The sequence below is a fragment of the Homo sapiens genome, chromosome 5, assembly GCF_000001405.40.
Source record: "Homo sapiens chromosome 5, GRCh38.p14 Primary Assembly".
NCBI lineage: Eukaryota > Metazoa > Chordata > Mammalia > Primates > Hominidae > Homo > Homo sapiens.
Window position 1 is genome coordinate 52735750 of NC_000005.10, and position 24540 is coordinate 52760289.

Consider the following 24540-nt stretch of genomic DNA (forward strand, 5'->3'; position numbering starts at 1 on the left):
TTAGCATTAGGTATATCTCTCCTAAAGCTATCCCTCCCCCCTCCCCCAACCCCACAACAGTCCCCAGTGTGTGATGTTCCCCTTCCTGTGTCCATGTGTTCTCGTTGTTCAATTCCCACCTATGAGTGAGAATATGCGGTGTTTGGTTTTTTGTTCTTGCGATAGTTTACTGAGAATGATGATTTCCAATTTCATCCATGTCCCTACAAAGGACATGAACTCATCATTTTTTATGGCTGCATAGTATTCCATGGTGTATACGTGCCACATTTTCTTAATCCAGTCTATCATTGTTGGACATTTGGGTTGGTTCCAAATCTTTGCTATTGTGAATAGTGCCGCAATAAACATACGTGTGTATGTGTCTTTATAGCAGCATGATTTATAGTACCTTGGGTATATACCCAGTAATGGGATGGCTGCGTCAAATGGTATTTCTAGTTCTAGATCCCTAAGGAATCGCCACACTGACTTCCACAAGGGTTGAACTAGTTTACAGTCCCACCAACAGTGCAAAAGTGTTCCTATTTCTCCACATCCTCTCTAGCACCTGTTGTTTCCTGACTTTTTAATGATCGCCATTCTAACTGGTGTGAGATGGTATCTCATTGTGGTTTTGATTTGCATTTCTCTGATGGCCAGTGATGATGAGCATTTTTTCATGTGTTTTTTGGCTGCATAAATGTCTTCCTTTTAGAAGTGTCTGTTCATGTCCTTCGCCCACTTTTTGATGGGGTTGTTTGTTTTTTTCTTGTAAATTTGTTTGAGTACATTGTAGATTCTGGATATTAGCCCTTTGTCAGATGAGTCAGTTGCGAAAATTTTCTCCCATTTTGTAGGTTGCCTGTTCACTCTGATGGTAGTTTCTAAGGACTTCATGTCTAAAACACCAAAAGCAATGGCAACAAAGCCAAAACTGACAAATGGGATCTAATTAAACTAAAGAGCTTCTGCACAGCAATCTCTTGGTTCTTAAGCTGCCCTGGGTAAGTTATGTTGGTGAACCTAAGGAATGTTAGTCTGTTCCCTCTAAAAAACAGTGAGCACAAGTTTAGTTGCTCCCATATTTGCGTAAAGGAAACAATTTAAGGTATTTCCCAGCAACCTGTGCAACTACTAGCAGGCCTTCTCCCTGCTAAAGCCAGATATTTTGCAAAATTTACCAGACTAGTATTTTCCAAGGTTCAAAGGAATAGTGTGCTTTGAGAGCCGTTTTCAGATTACGTCTTAAGATGCTATGAAAACAACCTATGTAAGTGTATATTTAAGTACATCGTGTTAAGGGCAAAATATGCTACTCGTTAAAGTCACCACATGAGGTTTTCAGTACCATATACTGGCTTGATTTGAATGAAAATTTCTAGAAATAGGATCTTAGAAGATTACCTTCAAATAATTAAAATTCCAAAGAAAAAAATGGACAGTCCTACATTTGTTTCAACTTTACTTGTTTCTGATGACTCTCATCTCTCTAGATTTTCTTACTGTTTTATGCCCCTGACTTTCTAGTAAGGTCTTCTGAGGTACAGTGGGCTGTTTACAGGCATTTATGTTTGTGAGAATATCAGTACATTATCAACCGCAGATCAAAACCCCCAGATAACAGTCTTGTTTTACTGACTTAAAAGGAACTTGTAATAAAAAGCCCCTTTTCAATGGGGGCCTCTGTGTGTTACTTTGTTCCCTTCATCACTGTTAAGGTATATTATTTGGCCTCAGGTTAATCTACCTTTTTAGAGACCAAAAATGACTTTCTTTACACTCTGCTGTGTTTTTTCAATTATGGGATCTTACAGTTTTCGTGTTAGCTCTCCATGTTGTACTGAATGCTCAATGACAGATATTTTCTATAAAATAAAATATAAAATATTACTAGACTAATTAGGTCTTTGTTTTGCTGTGGTCATGATGGCCTATCCAGACATTTCATTCTTGGTTTAATATCAGATGTGTTAACGCATTTCTTTTGTTGTTATTGAAACAGTGGATCACATTCAACACTTTTGGGAGAATCTGAGGTTTATATTTATATGATAATTTTGCATGTTACTTAACATCACTCTTCATTTTTCTTATGTCCTATCCGTGGTAGCTGCAGCAAGTGTTTAGCCTAGATTTTCTGAGATAGTCCTAATATTAAATATTTTTCTCTTATTTTCAGACTCTTTATTACAGTGTCAAGACAGGGATGGCAAATTTTTCTTTGGAAAATAAAATTACAAAGTCAATACATGCCTTAGAAATGACTGACCTAATTTGAGCATTTCTGGGGCAACCTTCTTCTTACTTCTTCTCCCATTCTTGGGCTCTGTTAGGATGCCGACTTGTAGAGGTTGGCATTGACCTTAATGCTCAAGGCCTTGGGAAGCTCTTGATCTGTAAATAACATCATCTGTTTCCTGCCTCTGCAAGAGGAGATTTTCTGCTGAATAGACTGTGCCTTGGTTTCAAGGCTCTCTTATCTCTTGGACAAGTGTCTGCTGCTGCTCTCCTGGTAATTTTTCTAACTGTGACCTGGAATTGAACTCTGGTTTTCATCTTTTCTCTTCTTCCTCTTACTCAGCCACAGCCTCCTGGTTTACATCATCAGGGATTTTTCCATCTCCATTACTCTGGCCCTTCTGGTTCAAGCTTTTAGCCTTAAAAACCAATAGCATCCTGACTTGTGACTCAGCTCAACCCCATCACCTGCTTTCAAATTCTCCTCCATATTAACTCCCACCTACAGACTTTCTCATGCTCTCTCTCACTACACAAAACCCATTTCCTTCCTTATATTTTCTGTTCCAATCTTTGGTTTTCTCTTCTCTGCCACTGCATCTATGTTTCTCAGATGAATTTCAGACCATTGAAGCTACAAGTAACAGAAGCAGAGATCTACTCAGAAATTAGCATTTAAAAAGAAATATATGTAATCCTGAGAAAAATGTTGATATTGAACTTTGAGAGTTCAGCTTCAAAAGATGAGTGCTACACATTAATATATTTAGCTTTTTTTCATACACAAACCAGTTTGTTTTAATTTATTCATTAGTGAAAAGAAATACCAAGGTAGTAAAAAGGCTTGTAAAGTTAATTATTCAACTGACTTGAGAGCTTTTCTAAAACCAAATTTTGCAGGCAATTTGATCTGAATACCAAGCTTGTTTGAACATATGGCCCAGTCTCAAAAAAATACACATATCATAGCCAAGAGCCTCATATGTTTTTAAACTATTAAGTGTTAGATAAACTTATTAGCCATCAATAATAACCCAGGTAGTTTCCAGCTTTTCTAATTGTGAGTACTTTCCTATGTGCATATATTGCTTATTTTATACCTTTTTATTCCCCAACAATATCTAGCCTGACCTGTAGTTCATGACAAAAACACTAATGTCAACTCCCCTTATTTCACATACCAACATGGTTTTTCAGTAGCTGTCCGTCAAAACACAAGGTGATTGTATAATAAAGATGCTATTTCCAATGAGATAAACCACTTATATCAATAAGGAAGCAAATTGCACTCAAATTAATGAAGAAAAGAAATCAATCACCTGGCCTTTTTAGTAGTCTGCAGACTATATTGGTTTCATTTGAAATATATGTTTTTGGGCTAGGGCTTTCTCTGGAAGGCTAGAGCTTTGAGGAGTTACCAATATGGTAGTTGAAGTCATGGGGTTAGATGATATTTCCAAGAGATACTCATTGTTTGGCATTAAAAGAAAAGTCAGTGTTTCGTTGGTAGGAGATAAATTTAAAACAGGTAGGATCTTTTGTAATCTCCCAAAGTCACATTACTTTATCCTAACTGAGGTCAACTCTTGAAGTTGAAATGTCTGTCTCTATGTGCAGGCCTCTGCACACACACAAGTGCACACATACTTATGCAAGTGTACATGTGTGCACAAATACACACACACATTACATCAATCATTTGAATTACTTATACACATAAAAAAGTATGGCATATTTATATAAGACTGTTGAGCAGAGAGGCAAAGTCAAGCCCTCATAAATATGGGTAGAGAAGGGTAAGCATTTGTTGAAATCCCTGTGGTAATCATGGTTGAAATGCGGGATAACAGAAGAACCCAAAATAAATAGCCTTAAATATTATGAATCTTTTTATATGCTGTGTGGATACCAAACACACACACACACACAAACACAACACAAACACACACACACACACACACACACACACACAAAGGCTCCACAACTGCGTTCTTAGCTGAACATAGATGTTTAATGGTCTTAGCCCCTAGTAAAATTGTAATATGGCTAAAATGCATCCCTGGCACTTCAGAAATACAGAGCTGAAAGTACCTAGCAGTCATTTAACCTAAATATTAATTTTACAGATAAGAAAACTAACAATCAATATGATGAAATGATATCTCAAATCTCACACAGACCATTGCTTCCTCAATCCATGCGACATTTTCCTCTTGATGACAGGAAGCAGCTGTCTTTTGGGATTTTCCCTAGGGCAAAAGCCACATCTGATTTATATATGTTCCTCTACCCCAGAGTGTTGGCTAATTTTAAAGTCCACACTTAGTTTTTGTAATGGAAAAATGCCAGCACTTTACATTTTCCTCATGGGTGTAACAGTAGCTGCCACTCATTGAGCATTAAATTGGCCAGGCCTCGTGCTAGGCACTTGATTCATTGTGTCTCATTTCATCCTTACAATAATCTTGTATATTGGATATTGTATTGTAATTTTATAAATAAGGACAATGAAGCTGAAAAAATAGAGATTATGCCTCAGACAGTATACTAGAAAGGTGATAAAATCAAGATGTAAACCCAAGTCCATCTGATTACTAAGGCTTTTCTGTGCTTCTTTCATCACTGGATTCTATTACCAGGGACCAGGGATAAAAGAAGAGCAACAGAGGGCACCCAAACAGAATCACCTCTGTAGAGTGCTCAGAAGAAACACTGTAGAAGCTCTCCTGACACAGCTACGTGGCCGGCCAGCTCTTATTTAGGAGAATGGTAGGTAATGCTGTTCCAGCACTTAGAAACACATGCTTGATGGAAAGGAGTGGGGAGACACTCCAACAAAGTCTCTCATGATATCACTGGGTTCAGTTTTACCAGAGCAGACTTCAGTGCCTGCCTACATCAAATTGACTGGTAGAACAAAATATCCTGCTACAAAATTCTAATAATTCTGAAAAAGAATAGATACCAATTTGGGATATTGCCTAATTGAAATTATTTACATATCTGAATTTAAGTATCAAACCTAATCCAGCATGGGTTTTTTTTGTAATAAATTCTCAAACTCCCAAATATTAGGAAATATTATCCACAAATTGTTGGGGACAGCTGGAAAGTAAACATTTTGGGCTTTAGCAATTTCTTTGGCATGTCCTTTCAGGAGCCTTAAGAAATGGATTGCACCTTGATAAATAAGAGGTAAATTTCACACGGAATCTGAAAAGTAACGAAGAGTAGGTGGGATCAGATCCAAGGAATTATTTGGTAGGAGTTATGGATTTCAGTTTGCCAATATGTAAAATATACCTCAGAATGTGGCCAAGGAAAAAGATAATGTTTGTCCCTCAACCTTTCCACTGAAGATCAAGAATCCAAATCCCTGTGAGAACATCATGCCAGCTGACATGCTAGATTCTGTCACTCCTTGGCTTAAAACCCTTCAGTAGTTACTCATGGTTCTTAGAATAAAATCTAAACTGTTACGTATGGATTTATGGCTCTCCCTTATTGTCTCTTCTTCTTTATTTTCAGCCACACCACTTATTCTACTCTCCAGTCATAGTTTCTTTCCTCTCCAGTTTCTGTCTCTTCTTCAAGCCTTATCTTACAATATTCCTTCTTGCTGGGACATTCTCTGCTGCAACGCTCTCCTGCCCTCCATATTCCTTCCATTACCCACACAGCCACTCCTGGCTGGTAAGCCCCATTCATCCTCCAGTTTGCACTTGGACACCACTTTTTGCAGAAGCTCTTCCCTGACTCCCCGGGTCTGGATTAAGTGCCTCCCTGTGAGGCCCTCACTTCCCTCTGTAATTATCATAGTTCACTATAACTTCTTGTTATATGGTTTCTTTTGCCAGTTAGACTGTAAGTTCCAAAATGGCAAAGACATGCTGCCAATTAGCAAATATTTTTCATGTTCACTCTATGCTAGACATTTGGGATACTGTGGCACACTAAATATAAAGTGTGCCCAACATTGCGTCTTAAAATGAGGCTTTTCCTCCCAGATGTGGTGCATTTATGATAGAAGACATGCCTAGGGATACCATGGACCTTTTTGTTCCATGCATATACATGAGGCAGGGCAATTTCTAGAGGATGGAATCACATTCTCCTGGAAGGTAGAATTAGGGTGCAACCATTGGAAATTGCCTCTGCCTGGGCTAGATAAGGCGGTGCCAAGGGTAAAATAACTTTGGTGGATTTTTGAAGTACTATGTGTCAAACCCTATGCTGAAAACAAGAAAGAGATTATTCTTGAACTGAAGCCAACATGTCTCAAAATACTCTGAGCACGAATCTTAGTGGTCTTTATGGTGACAGTGTTTGATAGTACTAACCCATTATAAGATTACTTTCCTGTATGTACTTCCTGCTAATTTATTTAACAAAAATCCTGATATGTGATATACCTGCCAAGCAATTAACGAGATTAGAAATGAAGTAGTCCAGGAATATAAACTGCAGAAGAAAGCAATTTTCACCCCAAAAGTTTACATTTGGCTGAAAAGCCACAATTTAGACCCCATCTCACTGGTCTAATAACACCTGAACTAAAGGAGGCATTTCATTTAATTATCCAAACATATTGGCATGTAAATTCAGGCTATCAGTAAAAATGAAGCGAGATGATGAACTCATCCCTTAGGACTCGTGATTTTGAACAGCTTTTCTCTTTTTAGGATAATTTGTGCTGCTTTATCATCTCAGAAAATCTTTCATTTGTCATGGATGAACTGAGATAAGGGAAGTTATTGCCACCTGGGTGCCTCTCTAATTTTCTAGTATAACAATTGGTATATATTCACCCAGTGAGCAGATTATACAATTTTACCTCTTTCCCTCAATCTAAGGGCCACTGGGAAAATGGAAAAAGTTGAGAGAAAGGGAGAGACAGGCAGAGAGAAGGTAAAAAAAAAAAAAACCCAAAAGAGTAGAATTTTATATTAGATGTTTGACATGAGATTTAATGAGTCTACCTCTGTGGTGGCTTTGTGAGAGACATCTGTTAGTCTTAAGTCCAGAAGAGATAAATTTATTATTATTAAGAGGAATTTGGGGCCTCTGAACATACATGTTAACTTCTTTTTCTTTATTAAATTACTTTAAAATTATAATGTAGAAAAAGTGGTATTGATACTGCAAAGTAGATATAGGACTGGTTACTGACTGAATAGAGCAAAGGAAGTGACTGCTGAAGTCTCCACAGGGGAAAGGCACCAAAGACCGTGAGTCATTTCCCTCTGCAGAAGCCTTGAGGGTCTCAGGGTTTAGGGCCACTAGAGATCAGGATAAGCAAGGCCCTGGGAAGGCACTTAGCTAAAAATAGAGTGATTATTCAAAGTCTGCATTATAAACTGAGGTCTTTTCAAAAAGGCAATGATTAACTCTAGGAAAAGCCAAAAGTTGTCTGAGAAATAAACTTGGAAAAGCGATGGATGTTATTTATGTAACCATAACCATGCTAACATGCTTGTTTAAAGAGAATGTGTGGTAGAGCTATGCTGGGAGGCTGAAGAAAAGGCAAGTCGGGGTGTGGTGATGGCAAGGGAATGCTGAGAAGCGCAACATTTTTCAATGACTACCAAAGGAAGCTAGTAAATCATACATAATCGTGACATATGAAGACATATCAGTAATATTATCTATAAATGTGGAGGAAATAGGGTGAAAAAGTTGAAGAGTTGAAAATGGTTGCTCTGGGGCCTAAGGCTGGAGCATTGGGTAGAGTGGGTAGGAGAAGGGACCACTGCTTTCTAACAGGGCACTTTTATCTCTATCTGATTTCTTAAACTCTGTACATGTATAAAAACAAAAACGTTTTTAATAATTAAAAAGAAGAGAAGTGGGTGGCTTAGGTTGCTGGAGTAGTGGGGATATTAGCCTGGAAGAAATTTTTGATCCCATACCTTTTATTCATTAGCTTTATATACTCAGAATTTCAGGATCTTCTGTGTCAGTAAGTAGGTGATACATACTCAAGCCTGAATTGGTTCATCACTAAAGTAATCATAGCAGTTTGCAGCAAAGAGAAGACAGCACAAAAATTCAAGCCACAAAAGGTTGCACTGTGACTCTTCTGTAAACCTCAACCCAGTGTCAGACGGCTGTTTTTTCCTTTCTTACTGCTATATTTTCAGTGCTAGCACAGTGGCTGACTCACATGGGTGCCTCAGAAGTAGTTGACAAAAATGCACAGAGATTACAGAAATGTTAGTTAAGAAAAGATTGATGAATTAATTGGCATGGATTGGGAGGAAGGAAGTTCTAAGGAAGACTCAACTTGCAAAAGGCCAAATATAACTGGGAGCTAGGCCAAATTTTATCCCTTTTAAGGAATCAAAACCAAGGTTAAGCCAGGGTCAAACCACTAATAAAGGAAAATGAGAACAAAATAAGTTCAAACTGGTATATCTGTGAATTTAATTTGCTTGCTAAGCACGTTGTGTATGAAGTGGGTGGAGTTTGTGAACTGAGGGTGTTCCGTATCTCATATATAGTCCATATCTCATATACATTATTCTAGTTGATATTTCAAAATATAGAAAAATGACAAAGTTTTCATCATTCAACTTATTTGGATGGTCAAGAAAATATAGAGACTATGTGATAAGTGACATAATCAATCAAGTTCAAAATATAATTTTGAAAAAAAGAAGTGGTCTTCTGTCTAACTAGGAATACAAATTTTATGTTTAACAGCATGCATTGTTTACTAGGTCTGCCTTAAAAAGTACCGCACACTGGTTGGCTTAAACAACAGAAATGTATTGCCCTGAAGGTTTGAAGTCTATATTAGTCCAATTTCATACTGCTATGAAGAAATACCCGAGACTGGGTAATTTATCAAGAAAAATAGGTTTAATAGACTTACAGTTCCACGTAACTGGGGAGGCCTCACAATCATGGTGGAAGGCGAAGGAGGAGCAAAGTCACTATCACAAGAACAGCACAGGAGAAACCCACCCCCGTGATTCAATTACCTCCCACTGGGTCCCTTCCACAACACATGGGGATTATGGAGCTACAATTCAAGATGAGATTTGGATGGGGACACAGCCAAACCACATCAAAGTCCAAGATCAAGGTGTTGGCAGGTTTGGTTCCTCCTGAGGTTTCTGAGAAAGAATCTGTTCCATGCCTCTCCCCTAGCATCTAGTGGCTTGCCAGAAATCTTTGGCATTCCTTGACTTATAGATGCATCACCCCATCTCTGCCTTGATGTGCACATGGTATTCTTCATGTGTGCATTTATGTATCTAAATTTCCCTTTTTGTAAGGACACTAGTCATATTGAATTAGGGGCCTACCCTAGTGTATTAGTCAGGGTTCTCTAGAGGGACAAAACTCTCTCTCTATATATATATATGGGGAGTTTATTAAGTATTAACTTACATGATCACAAGGTCCCACAATAGGCCATCTGCAAGCTGAGGAGCAAGGAGAGCCAGTCTGAGTCCCAAAACTGAAGAACTTGGAGTCCAGTGTTCAAGGACAGGAAGCATCCAGCATGGGAGATAGATGTAGGCTGGGAAGCTAGGCCAGTCTCGTCTTTTCACACTTTTTTCTACCTGTTTTATATTCTAGCCATGCTGGTAGCTGATTAGCTTGTGCCCACACAGGTTAAGGGTGGGTCTGCCTTTCTCAGCACACTGACTCAAATGTTAATCTCCTTGGCCACACCCTCATAGACACACCCAGGATCAATACTTTGCATACTTCAATCCAATCAAGTTGACATTCAGTATTAACCATTACACCTAGTCTACTATGACCTCATCATAATGAATTACATCTTCAGTGATGTTATATCCAAATAAGCTCACATTCTGAGGTACTGGGGTTAGGACTTCAACCTATAAATTTGAGGAGATACCCACTATAATGAAGAAATCATGTAGTCTAGGTTTTCTAAAACAATAATCTTAGAGATAGACAGACTATCCAAAAGGGTAGATGACTGGATAAATGGAAGTGTCTGATTCTGATTGTTAGGCTGGGTCCAGCCCAGAAGATGATGATGATGTGTGTCCTTGGGAACAAAAACTAGTAGAGTAAGTGTCTCTTATCTGGAAACAGCACTAACAGCCAGGTGAAAAAAATGCAAAATATTTGAATAAAATGAATTGGGAAAGGAATAAGGTCCAACAGCAGAGGATCCAACTGCAGATCACAAAATCAAGGAGAGCCTACAGCTGAGACACAAGACAAAATGAAAAAGCTAAAGAACTGAAGAGCTGGTGAAATGAAAACAGAATACCGAAGACTGAGCACAGAAATCAGAGAGCTATGGGGAAATACCTTAGTTCAAGCTATAACCTGCTATCATCCTTTGCATGTCTGTGGCAAGCGGTGTGAGCAGATTAGGTATATTTAAAAGTCCAGAACCAAGAAGCATAATAATTATTTTTCTGTCCAACCATAAGACTCATAATTTTCATATCAATGTGATATTTGAAGAACTTAATATCAAATTGCATCTGAAGTTAATTTTTCCCTTGAGTAATAAAAGCAACTTAGAGAGAATCATAATTTGTATGCTTTGTGCCCCAGAAAACCTCTGTGTGGCTACAAGTAGCAGGAAGCCAGACCTAACAGAGTTATGATCCTTGTCTCCAATGTCCCTCAAATTGCACCACAGTCTAAACGGCATGTACTTCTGACCCCACATGAATATCAAGTTATTACAAACTTATGTGACTTTAATGACCTTTCAAAGATAATGCAAACATGAGAACATTCCTAAGTACATGCCATGAAAACTTATATCCAAATGGATGTTGCACTTCAAAGTCACCCTGCAAAGAAGTTATTTTATTTCACAATAGTTCAACATAGTTGCAGTGCTCCTAGTTTGGAATTTATATCAGAACCAGTGTTCGAGGAGTGACTCTCATCCTACAAAGTACTTAAATAGGCCAGAAGTGTCACATTACTTTGCTTTCTTTAAATTTAATTAAATCTAACAGAATACTTACCAACATGGGCTTGTATGACAACCAATATTAGTTATTTCTGGAGGGTTCTTTCACAGTATTCTCTAATACTAATACTGACCACAAGAACATGTAGATCTTGGAAATGTTATATAGGAAAAATATGCACAGGAATCTTCGCAAAGAGTGGGATTATAAATACTCAAAACCCACTCACCACATATGTGCTGTGAAACAACCCCTCCTTCTGCTGTCAGAGAACAAACTAAAAGCTCTCCTAAGACAAAAGAACCAAAAGAGCCTGGATACTCTTTAGAAACTGGAAAGGAAAAGATAACCTTAGAACTAAGCATGCGTTAATATTTCAATACATTTTCACTATACCAATTTCCAACTACCATTAAGAAAGTAACCTCAATAAATTATACTTTACTTCTTTTAATAAGATTGTAATGACCTTTAAAAGATACCACAAACATGAGAACATTCCTAAGTCCATGCCAGGATTTCTGAATCCAATTCTGATACGAGAAGTTTAAGAAATTTCTTGACCAATAGAGGTGTCATTCATCATTGAATTTAAGTCTCAAGAGTGATTTTGTGAAATGATGGTTGTTGATTAAAGAAAAAGTTGCTTTAAAGTACTGGATGTTGTCATGAATTACTTATGAATGACTTGAATCTTTTTGATTATAAATAAAATTCATTTTCCTATCTCCTGACTTCTACCAGGAACTTCCTTTTCCTTTCACCATTTTTTTCGATCAACCCCTCAATGCCTGCCCCTCTCCTACTACTACTTCTAGATATCAGGTCTGATGATAGCAACCATTCCCAGAACAGGCAGCAGCAGGTTCTGAAGTTGGAGATGTGGACCATGGTAAAGAGAAAATAGCACAAGAGAAACTACAAAACATCGTTGAAAGTAATTAAAGACGACCTAAAAAATAGAAATAATTCTTTGTTAATGGATTGGAAGACTTTATTTTACTAAGATGGCAATATTCCCCAAATTGATCTACAAAATCAATGCAATCCTTATCAAAATTCCAACTACTTTCTTGTTCAGAAATGAACAAGCTGATCCTAAAATTCATATGGAAAGACAAGAAATTCTAAATAGAAAAACCAATCTTGGAAAAGAAAAACACAATGGGAGAAATTTTGAGAAGTTTCCTGATTTCTAAACTTGCTACAAAGCTACAGCAATCAAGACAGTGAGTGTGGTCATGGCATAAGGACATTATATAGACCAATGGAATACAATTGAGTGTTCAGAAAAAAACCCATACATTTGTGACCAGTTAATTTTCAACAAGAGTTCCAAGACCGTTCAATGAGGGAATAATAGTCTTTCTAACAAATAGTGCCAGGAGAAGTAGATATCCACATTCAAAAGAACAAAGTTGGACCTCTACTTACACAAAAACTAACTCAAAATGAATCACAAACCTAAATGTAAGAGCTAAAACTATAAAATTCTTAGAACAATACATAGTTGTAAATCTGCATGGACTTGGATTAGCAGTTTCTTAGATATGACACTAAAAGCCCCAAAACCAAAGATAAGTACATAAATTTGTCTTCATCAAAATTGGAAACTTTTGTGCTGCAATGAACACTATCAATAAAGTTAAAAGTTCTCAGGATGGAAGAAAATATTTGCAAATCATATATCTGAGAAGGATCTGGCATCTCCAATATGTAAAGAATTATTATAACTCAACAATAAAGAGACAAATAACCCAATTAAAAATGGGCAAAGCATTTCAACAGACATTTCTCCAAAGAAGATATAGAAGTGACCAATAAGTACATGAAAAGATACTCGTCTTTATTAGTCATCAGGAAAATGCAAATCAAAACCACAATGAGATAGTCTTTCACACCCACTAGGATAGCATCAAAACAGAAAATAACAAGTATTGGTGAGGATGTGGAGAAACTGGAGTCCTTATGCATGCTTGTATAAATGTAAAATTGTACAGACCCTTTAGAAAACAGTCTGGCAGTTTTTCCAAATGTTAAAGACATATTTGCCATTTAACACAGGGTCCCACTCTTATGTATGTACTCAAGAAAATTAAAAACATATTTTCACAGAAAAACATGTGCATAAACGTTCATGGCAGCATTGCTCACTACAGCCAAAAAGGAGAAACAACCCAAATGTCCATCAACTGATGAATGGATAAACAAGGTGTGGTATAACCAAACAATGTAATATTATTCAGCCATAAAAAGGAATAAAGTACTGTTTCATGCTACAGCATGGAGGAATCTTAAAAGCATTACACTAAACAAATGAAGTCAGACGCAGAAAGCCACATATTGTATAATATCACTTACATGGAAATTCCAAAATAGAAAAATCCATAAAGAAAATAGGTTAGTGGTTGCCAAAAGAGATGAGAGAAGGGGAAAATTAGGACTGGCTGCTGAAGGATAAGTGATGTTTTTGGAGTAGAATGGAAATTAGTGTTTGGAACTGGATAGAAAGATAGCAGCACAATATAGTGAACATACTAATAACTACTAGATTGTGTACTTTAAAATTATGAACTTATGATGTGAATTATATCTCAATTTAAAAAAAGAAGTAACAGTTCATTTTGTGCTCCTGCATCATAGTTATTTGCCTACATTTTAAACAATAAAATAGAAGTCATGTTGTCCATAGGACCTACATAAGAGTTACTGAAAAAAAGTTCCTATATGAGCCTGAGCCAGGTGGCTACAATGATACCTATCTGGGTGCCCAAAGACCAAATGTGGAGGAAAGAGGATATCACACTTAGTATAAATAATATAAGGAATATAAATGGAATTCAGGCACTATGTGTGTCACCCACACATGCTTTGAAATATGACCAAGAGTTGCTCTTTTGAGTTTCCCTGGGCTACTGGCTGTCTCTTTCCCTGCACCCAGTGGTTTAGATAGATGTGCATATTAAAGAGCAGCTAATTCAACTCAAGCAAAGAACAAAAGAGATTTCATGCTTAAACTTCAAAATTAACATGAGAGCAATTCTAGGAATCTGTCTCTCTACCAAACAACATCAAGAGACTAATAAGACAGAACAACTTTACTGGCTTTTACCCACACAGTTATAGACAAACTGAGAGAGAGGTACAGAGGGGTTTTGAAAACAGAATTTAGGGAGCCATAGATTGCAAAGTGCTGCCCCTTCCCATTTTTCTCTATTGCCTTTTACCGTATTTTCTCATACAATTTGGCAATGGTTTGGGCCTCTCTTAGGGAAGATTCCTCAGAAACAGACTCTGAGATGAAAATTTGCTGCAGGAATTTTACAGGTAAACACCCACGGATTAACCTCTGTGGTGATGGAGGAGGCAGGTAAGGATGAGGTGAGTTGTGGTAAACACACATGGATTAACCTCCGTGGTGACGGAGGAGGCAGGTAAGGATGAGGTGAGCTACAGTGCAGTGCAAGATAGGCTTTGGCCAGTCCCAGGAGAGTCAGATGGCCTAGGGGGAAGGGGCTGTGGCTTTATATGTCCACACCAACCTGCCGTTACTCATGAGTGAGCAACTTTGGGTTGAAGGTAATTTTTGGAGAGCAACTCAGTTAACGGCCATAAGCCACCTAAATTTCTACCAGCTGGGAGAATGAGCTCTGTCATCCTGAGGGGAACCTGGATAACGAGCTACAGGATCCACCACAGAGGTGTCTATATACCAGAAAAAAATGGATATCTCATTCGCAAGTTGAATTGTGTTATAGAGCAGTGTCTGTGGAACACAGAAAAGGCCTAATTATATTTGATAGGATGTTATTGTAGTCTCCTTTCTCCATTTTTTTGTGGACCAAACATTGGCATTGTGGGGAGACCTGGGTTTCCTAAAAGCTGAGAGAAAGTTGTAAGTAGAGCCCCCTTGGTGGGAGAGCAAAGGAATGGGGTGAATCCATTCCCTATATGAGTCTGAGCCAGGTGGCTACAATGATGCTTATCTGGGTGCCCAAAGACCATCAAAAAAAGCAACAGGACAGACCAGTATGAATTCCCAGGGTTCGAGGACTGCGGCAACCAGACCCATAAGGAAAGGAAATGAGGAAAACCCACATGAATCCCCATTCTCACTGACATGCTCCTCAAACCCCTCAAGAATGCACACTCTGCTCCTCTCCTCTCTTACTAAACTTGTTGCAAGAAAATAGTGTATCTGAGGCTCTCTGGGAGTTTTAAGTCAGAATTTATTAGGTTGATGCAAAAGTAATTGTGGCTCTTGCCATTTTAAAATGACAAACCTAATAAAAGGGAGGAAGGATCCAGGAATTATTAACATGAACTAATAAAATGATAATAGCAGAATTTGACTTAATATTTACCTATGAGTAACTGATTATAAATAGAGTGACTGAAATGGAGTTCCTGGAATGGCCTGTCTACATATTAGAAGAAATTTAGTTTTTCTGCTGCCAAGTGGGGATGAGGGATTGCCCAATAGGAGCATGATTATATATGTATGTGTGTGATTGTGTGTGTGTGTGTGTGTGTGTGTTCAGCTTTAGGTTTCTACATACCTGAGGTGTACTTGATGTGTGTCTGGTCATTTATATCTGCTGCATCCAATGTGGTCCTTACGAATTCCTTCTATGCAGAAAGGAAAATGAAGACATAAAAAAATTTTCCCTTTGTCAAAATGGCTAGTAAGTGACAGAACTATGATTCAAACCAAGTCTGTCTAACTCAAAAGTGTTTCAACTATTCTAAGGTACCTTTTTGGGAGTTTATTGACATCTTAAGCTGTCCAAGTATCTTAGTCATTTGTGCTGCTATAACAAAATATCACAGACTAGGTAATTTATAAATTAATAGAATTGGTTTTCACAGTTTTGAAGGCTGAAAAGTCCAAGATCAAGGCCCCAGCAAATTTGGTGTCTGGTGACGGCTGCGCTCTCTGCTTCCAAGATGGCGCCTTGTTGCTGCATCCTCCAGAACGGACGAATGCTGTGTCCTCATATGGCAAAAGGTGGAAAGGCAAAGGGGACAAACTCTCTCTGTCAAGTCCTTTAATAAGGGCACCTAAATCCCATTCAATCACTTCATAAAGGCCACACCTCTTCATACTATTGCATTGGGTATTAAGTTTCAACATGCAATTTGAAGAGAACAAAAACATTCAAACCATAGCACCAGGTAAAAATAAATACAAAGGATAAGAAAGGGTCAGAGGACCTCTGGGCCACCTCTAAATCTTACAGAGACCTCTCAGGACATCCCAGGACCAGGACTTTGTGTGAGACATGTAAAAATGGACCATGCACAGTTAGCCTGCTTGTGGCTGCTACAGGTTCCAGCTCTGGGCTATGAGTCTTGTGAGGCAGCTGCCTAGAGAAGCATTCAACAGAAGATCACTAGGAAGGAAGAATGAATCAAAACCCAAAGCACAATTTCTATCTTTGGCCAAGTTTAGTAAAGGAAGAGGGTGGGGTGGAAATATATGGAAATAATTTTGGTTTTGTAAAGACCATTTTTAATGTACTTAATTTCATATAAAGAAATGAACTAATAACTATGTATCATCCATTCTCTGGTCATTTTTGTTATAACCTTTAAAAATATACAAAATCAAAAAATCATAAAAGACTGATTTAACATTGCCATATCATTTTCTTCTTTATTTCAGAAATGTTTGATCTAGTTGTTTGGCTATTTTTGCTCTCCTCATGACAGTATTTATTTCATCAAGCAGTTGTTCATCACTTTCCATTCTCTGAAAGGCAGTAGTGTATTCTGGGCTCTTGTGCTCTGACCTTTCAAATAGTTTATAATTAAGCTAGTTAATGCTGTTCCCTATTTTCCAGCCTCAAAGTTAGCAAGCAACTGCTAGACTAGTCTCTGACCTATAAGAAAGAATGTGAAAAAGCTTATAATTATTACAGAATTGTCCTCTTTTGCAAAGCAACTAGACGCAGAACTTCTTGTTCTAGAGAAAGTAAATACTAGAATAAAAAATTCTCTGTAAAATTCTGTACGATTTATGATTAAAGTTATACTTTAACTCAATCAGAAAACATTTTGTCATTTATCATTTTCAATATATGCCCACTATGTGCCAGATACTCTGCTCAAGACAGAGATTTGGAATGAATAAGGACCTCAAAGTTTAGGGGTAGAGAAAGACATATAAACAAATAAATTTAAATTCATTTTGATAATCGTAACAACAGAACCATGCACATAATACCGGAGGAGGGGCTGCTTAATTCTGAAGAATGTCAACAATATCCCCACAAGGTCACATTTTGTAATTATAGGATTGCATGGCACTTTGACTATCATGACAGCACTGGTCACAGGGGCATCCCTCCATTTACCCATAGATTATCCGATTAATGCCTATCTCCTCCATTAATAAATAAGTTTCATTTGGGCATGAAGCATGTTTGTTGTTGCTCGCTATTAAATGCTCAACACCCAGGATAATGTGTACAAAAGTCTTTCAATTAATGTATCTTAAACATTGTCGACTATATGTAGGAAACATATCCTTAAAGGAATACATCCGGATACCTGACTTAGCTGTTGGAAGAGTTAGGAGTTTCTCATGAGAACAAGGCAAAAAGAGGAGGACATTGCAGGCAAGGGGTAGAGGCAGTATGTGCAAAGAGGTGGAGGCATGTGTGCTTGGTGCTGGGTGTAAGATGGGGTTTGAAGGTGAGTGTGATAGGGAGTGAAAGAAGGAGTGTGCAGAATATGAGAAATGTCATACTAAGGAATTACAGCTTTTATCTCACAGGTGTGTGATGGGGAGTCAGTAAAGCATTATATGCAAGTGACAAGCATAACTAGACTTTCCTTGAAATGTTAGAAGGACTAGTTTTTTGCAGTGCTCTGGTCATTAGGTTTTTTTTGTTTGCAAGTAACAGAAGCTCACTCAAGTTATACAAATAAGGGAGGTTTATTATAAGAATAAGCATGACAGTCGGGAGGGGTAATATTAACAACCAAAGAGAAAATACGGAGAAAAATTGGATGTCTTCTTTGACTTGGCAAGAGAAGTTACATTGATGGGAGCAGACCCCTGATTATAAGTAGAAGTCTTAATTGATGGGAAAGAAATGGAGATACTGCAAATAGACTACTTTTTCAAGAAGCTTGAAAAAAGAGAAGGAGGCTTCTGGGCCAACAGGATGCTGAGAATGTATGCTTCAAGAAACCTTCTTCCTAACACAGCAATGAATGATAAAATGTTAAACACACACACACATGCACACACACACACACCACACACCACAGCTGGACTCAAATATAAGACAAATATCTACATGGGTGAGAAACAGAACAGAAACAGAGTGGTGAATCAAAGCTGAAGTCACAATTTTCTAAGTTACGTAGTTGTGGCAAAGCACTAAGCAATGGTAGCTCAAAGGTCAATAATAGTAGTCCTCTCATAATTGGGGAGACTTGAGCTTCACTTGCTGCTGAAATCTGGTGAGCTGCCTCCCCTTGCAAAAGGAAGTAGGAAGAATGTAATGTCTATTAAACGTTATTAAATGTAGCTGAATAGAGCTAAGGGCACATAGAAATTGTGGGTCCAAGGAGTCACCGAGGAAAACAACCACAATTTCATTCTCTAAAACTGAATCAAGCTGCGTTCAAGCTGCAGCCTAGATTTCTCATATTCCTCACTGCTCCATAGGGCTGCTAACTCCAAACTGTGATGATAAAACCTAGTCCTGTATTGGAGACTAAAAGTGTACAGAGGCAACCACAAAATGCCTAGACCAGGAAGAGTGAGCAGCATGGGAACCGGGCAGAGGAGGGTGTGTGTGTGTGTCTGTGTGTGTGTGCGTGTGTGTGTGTGTGTGTAGAGTGAGAGAGAAAGAGAGAGAGAATATTCAAAGTAAACCAGCATACAAAAATTTTAAAACATATGTAGAAAATACAGTCAACAAAATCAACAATCAAGCTAATGAAGTTTTCTATATGATATGTATTTCGAAGAAGAGTTTGGCAAAGACTTAAAAATGTTGAGGTTGTCAAAGAGATAACAGAAAATATAGCTATTTAAATAGAATACAAAATTATTGAATAAAAGTAAACATGAACACAGCAAGAACAGAAATGACAGATGATAGATAGATAGATAAATAGATATGCTAATTAGAAATTTTGGAAAGAAAAAAAACTGTCAATGAATTTGAAAATGCAATAGATGAGAAATTTTCTGACAAAATAAAGCCCAAGAATAAATTAATGAGCTGGAACATAGAACTGAAGAATTCTAGCATGAAAAGACAAAGAGGTAAATAGGAAAATATTGTTAAGAAGCCAGATTGAGAGTCTCCAACATTTACAAAATAGGAGTTCTTGAAGGAAAAAAAGTAATAGTGAAGATGTAACCTTTAAGGAAATGATTATTGAGAAGTTTTTATAATTACAGAAGGACTAAATTTTCAGCTTCAGAGGGAGGCAAAGAAACAAGGCTACTAAATAAAAAATAAATCTCTGCAAGAATACATTATAAAAATCATGAAGATATGATCTCAAAAGTTAGCAGAGGAAAAAGAATGATTACTTATGGATAATGACAGTAAATTTAACAGGATATTATTTATTAGCAAAATGGAGGCCAGAAGAAAATAGGTAAAAGTAGGCAAGGGAAAATCAATGCCGAACTATAATTTTATACCCAGTCTAAAAATCATTCAAAACTAAAATATCTTTAGATATTTTCACATATACAAAGTCTACATACACACGCACACACATACATAATCCACTCAGTCACACTCATATACACTCACACATACAGATACACTTATGCTCACATTCACACACACACACACACACACACACACACAGTTCTTATTTAAGATGTGCTTTAGTTGGTGGACAAGTGAATCTGGAAGAAGAAATATAAAACAATGATAAAATATGTTAATTGGCTATTGATTATGAAAAATAATTTCTAAAGTTTAAAATAATGTTTAAATTTCGGCAGGGCCCGGTGGCTCATGGCTATAATACCAGCACTCTGGGAGGCCCAGTGGGTGGATCACCTGAGGTCAGGAGTTTGAGACCAGCCTGACCAATGTGGAGAAAGCCCGTCTCTACTAAAAATACAAAATTAGATGGGCATGGTCGTGAATGCCTGTAATCCCAGCTTCTCAGGAGGCTGAGGCAGGAGAATAGCTTGAACCCAGGAGTCGGAGGTTGCAGTGAGCCAAAATCGCACCATTGCACTCCAGCCTGGGCAACAAGAGCTAGACTCTGTCTCAAAAAATAAAAATAAAAATAAATAATGTTTAAACTTCAATAAAAACATAAAATTGAAATTTCAAACAACAGTAATGAAGTGACGGGGTGGAAGGTTATTCACTGGGTAAGTAAACCCTGACAGCTCTTATCATAGTTGAGAGAAGAGAGAATTACTGCACTGGACAGCGATAAATTTTTTAGATGGTTTTATATTTTATTATGCATATCCAAGTGTAGATAGTAAAAGAAAAAAAAATCAATCATGAAGCAGAAGAGATTTTGCTGAGATAAACCATTATCCCTGATCAGCAAGTTTTCTCCAGGTGGATACAAGTTTTCTCAAGGACAAAGTAGAGGTTGGTTGATCTTAGAGAAATAGGGGGCTATTCGGGCAGGGTGACAATTAGATGTTTCTTTTAAAAGATAGCAAGCTTCAAGGAAGTGAATTTCTGTCTTCACCAGTGAAGATACCCTTTGAAGTTGGCCTTAGAGCACTGTGATTGACACTGGATGTTTTTGCAATAGTTGCTACCATAGGGTGCTGGAGTGGAATTTTCATAGGGTTTCTTTAGGAAAAGGGAATTTCCCAACTCAGGGATAGGGCTTTCAAGCTCTCCCTGCCCAGAGTTCACAGCTTGAGGTGAGCTCTTGGGTTTTCCCTCAAAGCCATGCATCAGGGCCTGGGTCTGTCCTTGGAACACCAGGTCAGACTGAATCAATAACTCCCGTCACACTAAGACACAACTCTGTTGTTTCCTCCCATTCTCTTGGAAATCCATTTTTTCAGTGGAGAGAATCAGGCCAAAATGGGTCTTTCTATAGAGCTCCCACCCCCAGACTCTCACAGTAACTGTCATTTATTTATCTTACTGGAGCCTACCCTCCATGGTGCCGGGGTAACATTCTGTCCCTGTCTATGCTGTGATTGGGGGTCATATAGAATGCTACAGAGGAGAGAAAAAGCTGAAGCAGTATTTTGAGCCCTCCCTGATGACACTGCTGACCCCAGCTGGTTCCAGGCACTGCTGCAGGGGGACATAGAACACTTTGAGGAAAGCATTTTAAAGTACATGGCTCTGTGAGGCACAGGGTCCCTGCTTGCTCAGGTCTAAGGCCAGTACTGTGCAATGAGGAAAATGCTACGTAAATGTTCAGGAATGAATTTGACCCCATTTCTCAATTCTGGCTGGGTTGAATGGCCATAGGGCTTAGGACTTAGGTTGGTGAGGGCAGTAATAGAATCGTTCCTCCTGGAGCACCAGAAGATGGGATATGATATACAAGGCTGCGGGTTGGTTATGAAAAGAGAAATAGGACACTTCAAACACATTGTTCTTATTTTGCATTATCACTGGATGTTGATTATTTCAATATTCATGTCTAAGATTCTGTTGAATGCAAAATCATTATTACCACTTCAATAGCTGCTATTTACTTACTTTGCCTTTCAATAAATTTACAGGAAGATTTAATTAAGTAAGAAGGCCTTGACAAGACGATATATTTCTGAGACATTGTAGCATGCTACAAATGGTGACATAAGGTCAAATGCCGATGATTTTATCCTCAAATGAACTATAATAACTTCCCTGACATGCACTCCCTGGAATTTTCAATTGTTATGAAATGGAATTTATAATTAAAGGAAGAAGCTAATACCATGTGCTGGACTAGAATAAAAATAACAAAACCTCTACTTATTAATATTTTTAAGTGAAAAGAAATACAAAGAAGGAACTAGAAAAGAACTAACATTTATTCAGAGCTTATTATAAATCAGAGTGTGTATTAGACAATTTAACTTTGAACACTTAAGTTAGAATTCACAATGACTCGATATAGCATGTTCATTAAAAGGACAGGAGATTTCAGATTTAAAGGCATACCAGCAATGTTCCCCAGTGAATGGATTTGTCAAAGGGGTTTGTGGGGATAAAGAACAGGAAATATTTTCAACAGCCTGATGACCAGACATCATTCAAGGAATTGAAGGACTGTAATATCATTTAAGATACAGCTACACACGCAAATCCGGCCTCAGGGATGACTAAAACGCCACCAATTCTCCTGTTTGCTTGCGTATACAGTTTTGCCCACAGGCACCATTTGCTCCCCTATTATGATGACTCAGGTAGACCTTGTCTCAGTTTCTACATCTCCTTCTATAGCTCATATAATATTTTCTATAGGGCTTCAAATATAAAGAGAAAAGTAGAGTAAAGTGTAATCTGTTAGAAAGAAAGCAAACATGAGAGTAAAAAAATTCCGTGTGACCCTGCTTATAGGCATGACTCCAATAAACTGAGCTTCAGTGTACTCAATTTTGAGTATACTGAATTGAGGTGGCTCATGCCTGTAATCTCAGCACTTTGGGAGGCCGAGGCAGGCGGATCACCTGACGTCGGGAGTTCAAGACCAGCCTGACCAACAGGAAGAAACCCCATCTCTGCTAAAAATACAAAATTAGCCTGGCGTAGTGGCACATGCCTGTAATTCCAGCTACTCGGGAGGCTGAGGCAGGAGAATCACTTGAACCCGGGAGGCGGAGGTTGCAGTGAGCCGAGATTGTGCTGTTGCACTGCAGCCTGGGCAACAAGAGCAAAACTCCACCTCAAAAAAAAAAGGAAGTGATTGCATAATAATTGATGTAAAGTGAGTCGCAATGTATAGTAGGAATTTTGTAATTTAGTTTTGAACTGGTGTTACTGGCCAAACACCATCCAGTATAAGGAGTGAGCTCTACAAGCCTGGATACCTTTCAGTGTATTAGCCAACTTTGGGCCCACTGTAGACCCATCAATGATAGCCAGAGTAGTAGGGTCATGGGATCCGCTATGCTAGTAATGACTGTCTGGCGGGGCTACTTCACAAAGCTCTGGATGATGTCAGATGTTATCCTAAAGTCTGATGGCACTCAACTGTAGCTTTGCTTGCTCACTGCATTATCACCAAGGTGACAATTAGTGGTGGGCTTCCCCAGCTCAGATTGTGCCCTTTTGAAGAGTCTCAACAGTGTGTATGGTCCCTAGTTTGCAATTTACATACAAATGATAATTAATAATTGAACATTTTTACTGTAAACTATTCAACACTATCCTTTCTCTTTTTAGAAGAATTTGTTAATGATCTAAGCTCCATGAATGAAAGAAGATTTCCTGCCAAGTTTGACACCCACTCTAAATGGACAAATCTGAGCTTTGAAGGCAAAACAAAACATTTGGGATTCTGTGATACTTTACCAATGACCAAACCTAACTTCCTCTTTTGGAGAAGAAATTTAATGTAAACCTTCATGTGAAAATTCCCAAAGATTTTTCAGATACCACAGTCCTCTTCAAACCAAAAGCTGGAAGAACAAGTATAAATACACTAAAACATGTGGGATTTGTTTTCTTTAAAATGTACATTAATTTTTTTAAGTTCAGGGAAGGGTCATTTGAATAATTCTATGAGCTGTACCAAGCCAAAGCCAAGAATACCTCATGGCAGTGTGGTGAGGCTCTTGATTTCCCACGCCCACATATGCACATAAGATTGCCTTTAACAGATATTTTAAGGAATAAAGGTAAAGGCCATGTTTGTACAAACATAATAGTAATAATGATAAAATAATAATAGTGATAAAGCCCTTGGAGATGTAGCTTATGGTCACTGGCATAAGAAATTCCCAAAGATTTCCACATAAATAAGGAAGGACAACTCACCTATGGTGAAAACTTGTTCATATGAATGGCATGGTGACCCCCCCAATTCTGACTTCCTCTCACACAGGTGAGCCGCACTCTCCAATAGAACTTTCTGCAATGATGTCAATGTTCCTCATTCTGCAGTGTCTAATACAGTAGCCACTAGCCATGTGTGGCTATTAAATAATGGAAATATGCCTGGGACTAAGGAGTTGAAATTTTTGATCTTATTTAGTTTTAATTATCTTTAAATTAAATAGCTTCATGTGGCTAATGGCTACTGTAATGGGCAGGATAGCTCTACAGAGCAGGAATAAACCCTTGATTAAATCATTGTTACTCCTTGAATACATCTCTATAATTACAACCATAATAATAAATAATTAACATTTGTTTAGCACTTGGGGCTTTACCTGCTTATTCCTCACAGAGCAAATTTCAACCATCATTCATGCCCCAGGTATTTG

The 24540-nt window shown here is 38.0% G+C and overlaps 1 long non-coding RNA gene across 9 annotated transcripts in view; it reads right to left on the minus strand.

Annotated features, from left to right (window-relative positions):
* PELO-AS1 (PELO antisense RNA 1) overlaps positions 1-24540 on the minus strand; it is a 127387-nt gene that overhangs the window by 62323 nt on the left and 40524 nt on the right. For 2 of the 9 annotated variants that reach the window (NR_186452.1, NR_186448.1), the window contains exon 5: positions 15704-15770. The exons of the other annotated variants lie outside the window; for them this stretch is intronic. This is a non-coding gene — a long non-coding RNA (PELO antisense RNA 1). The remainder of the gene's footprint in view (positions 1-15703; positions 15771-24540) is intronic. 9 annotated transcript variants of the gene reach the window in all.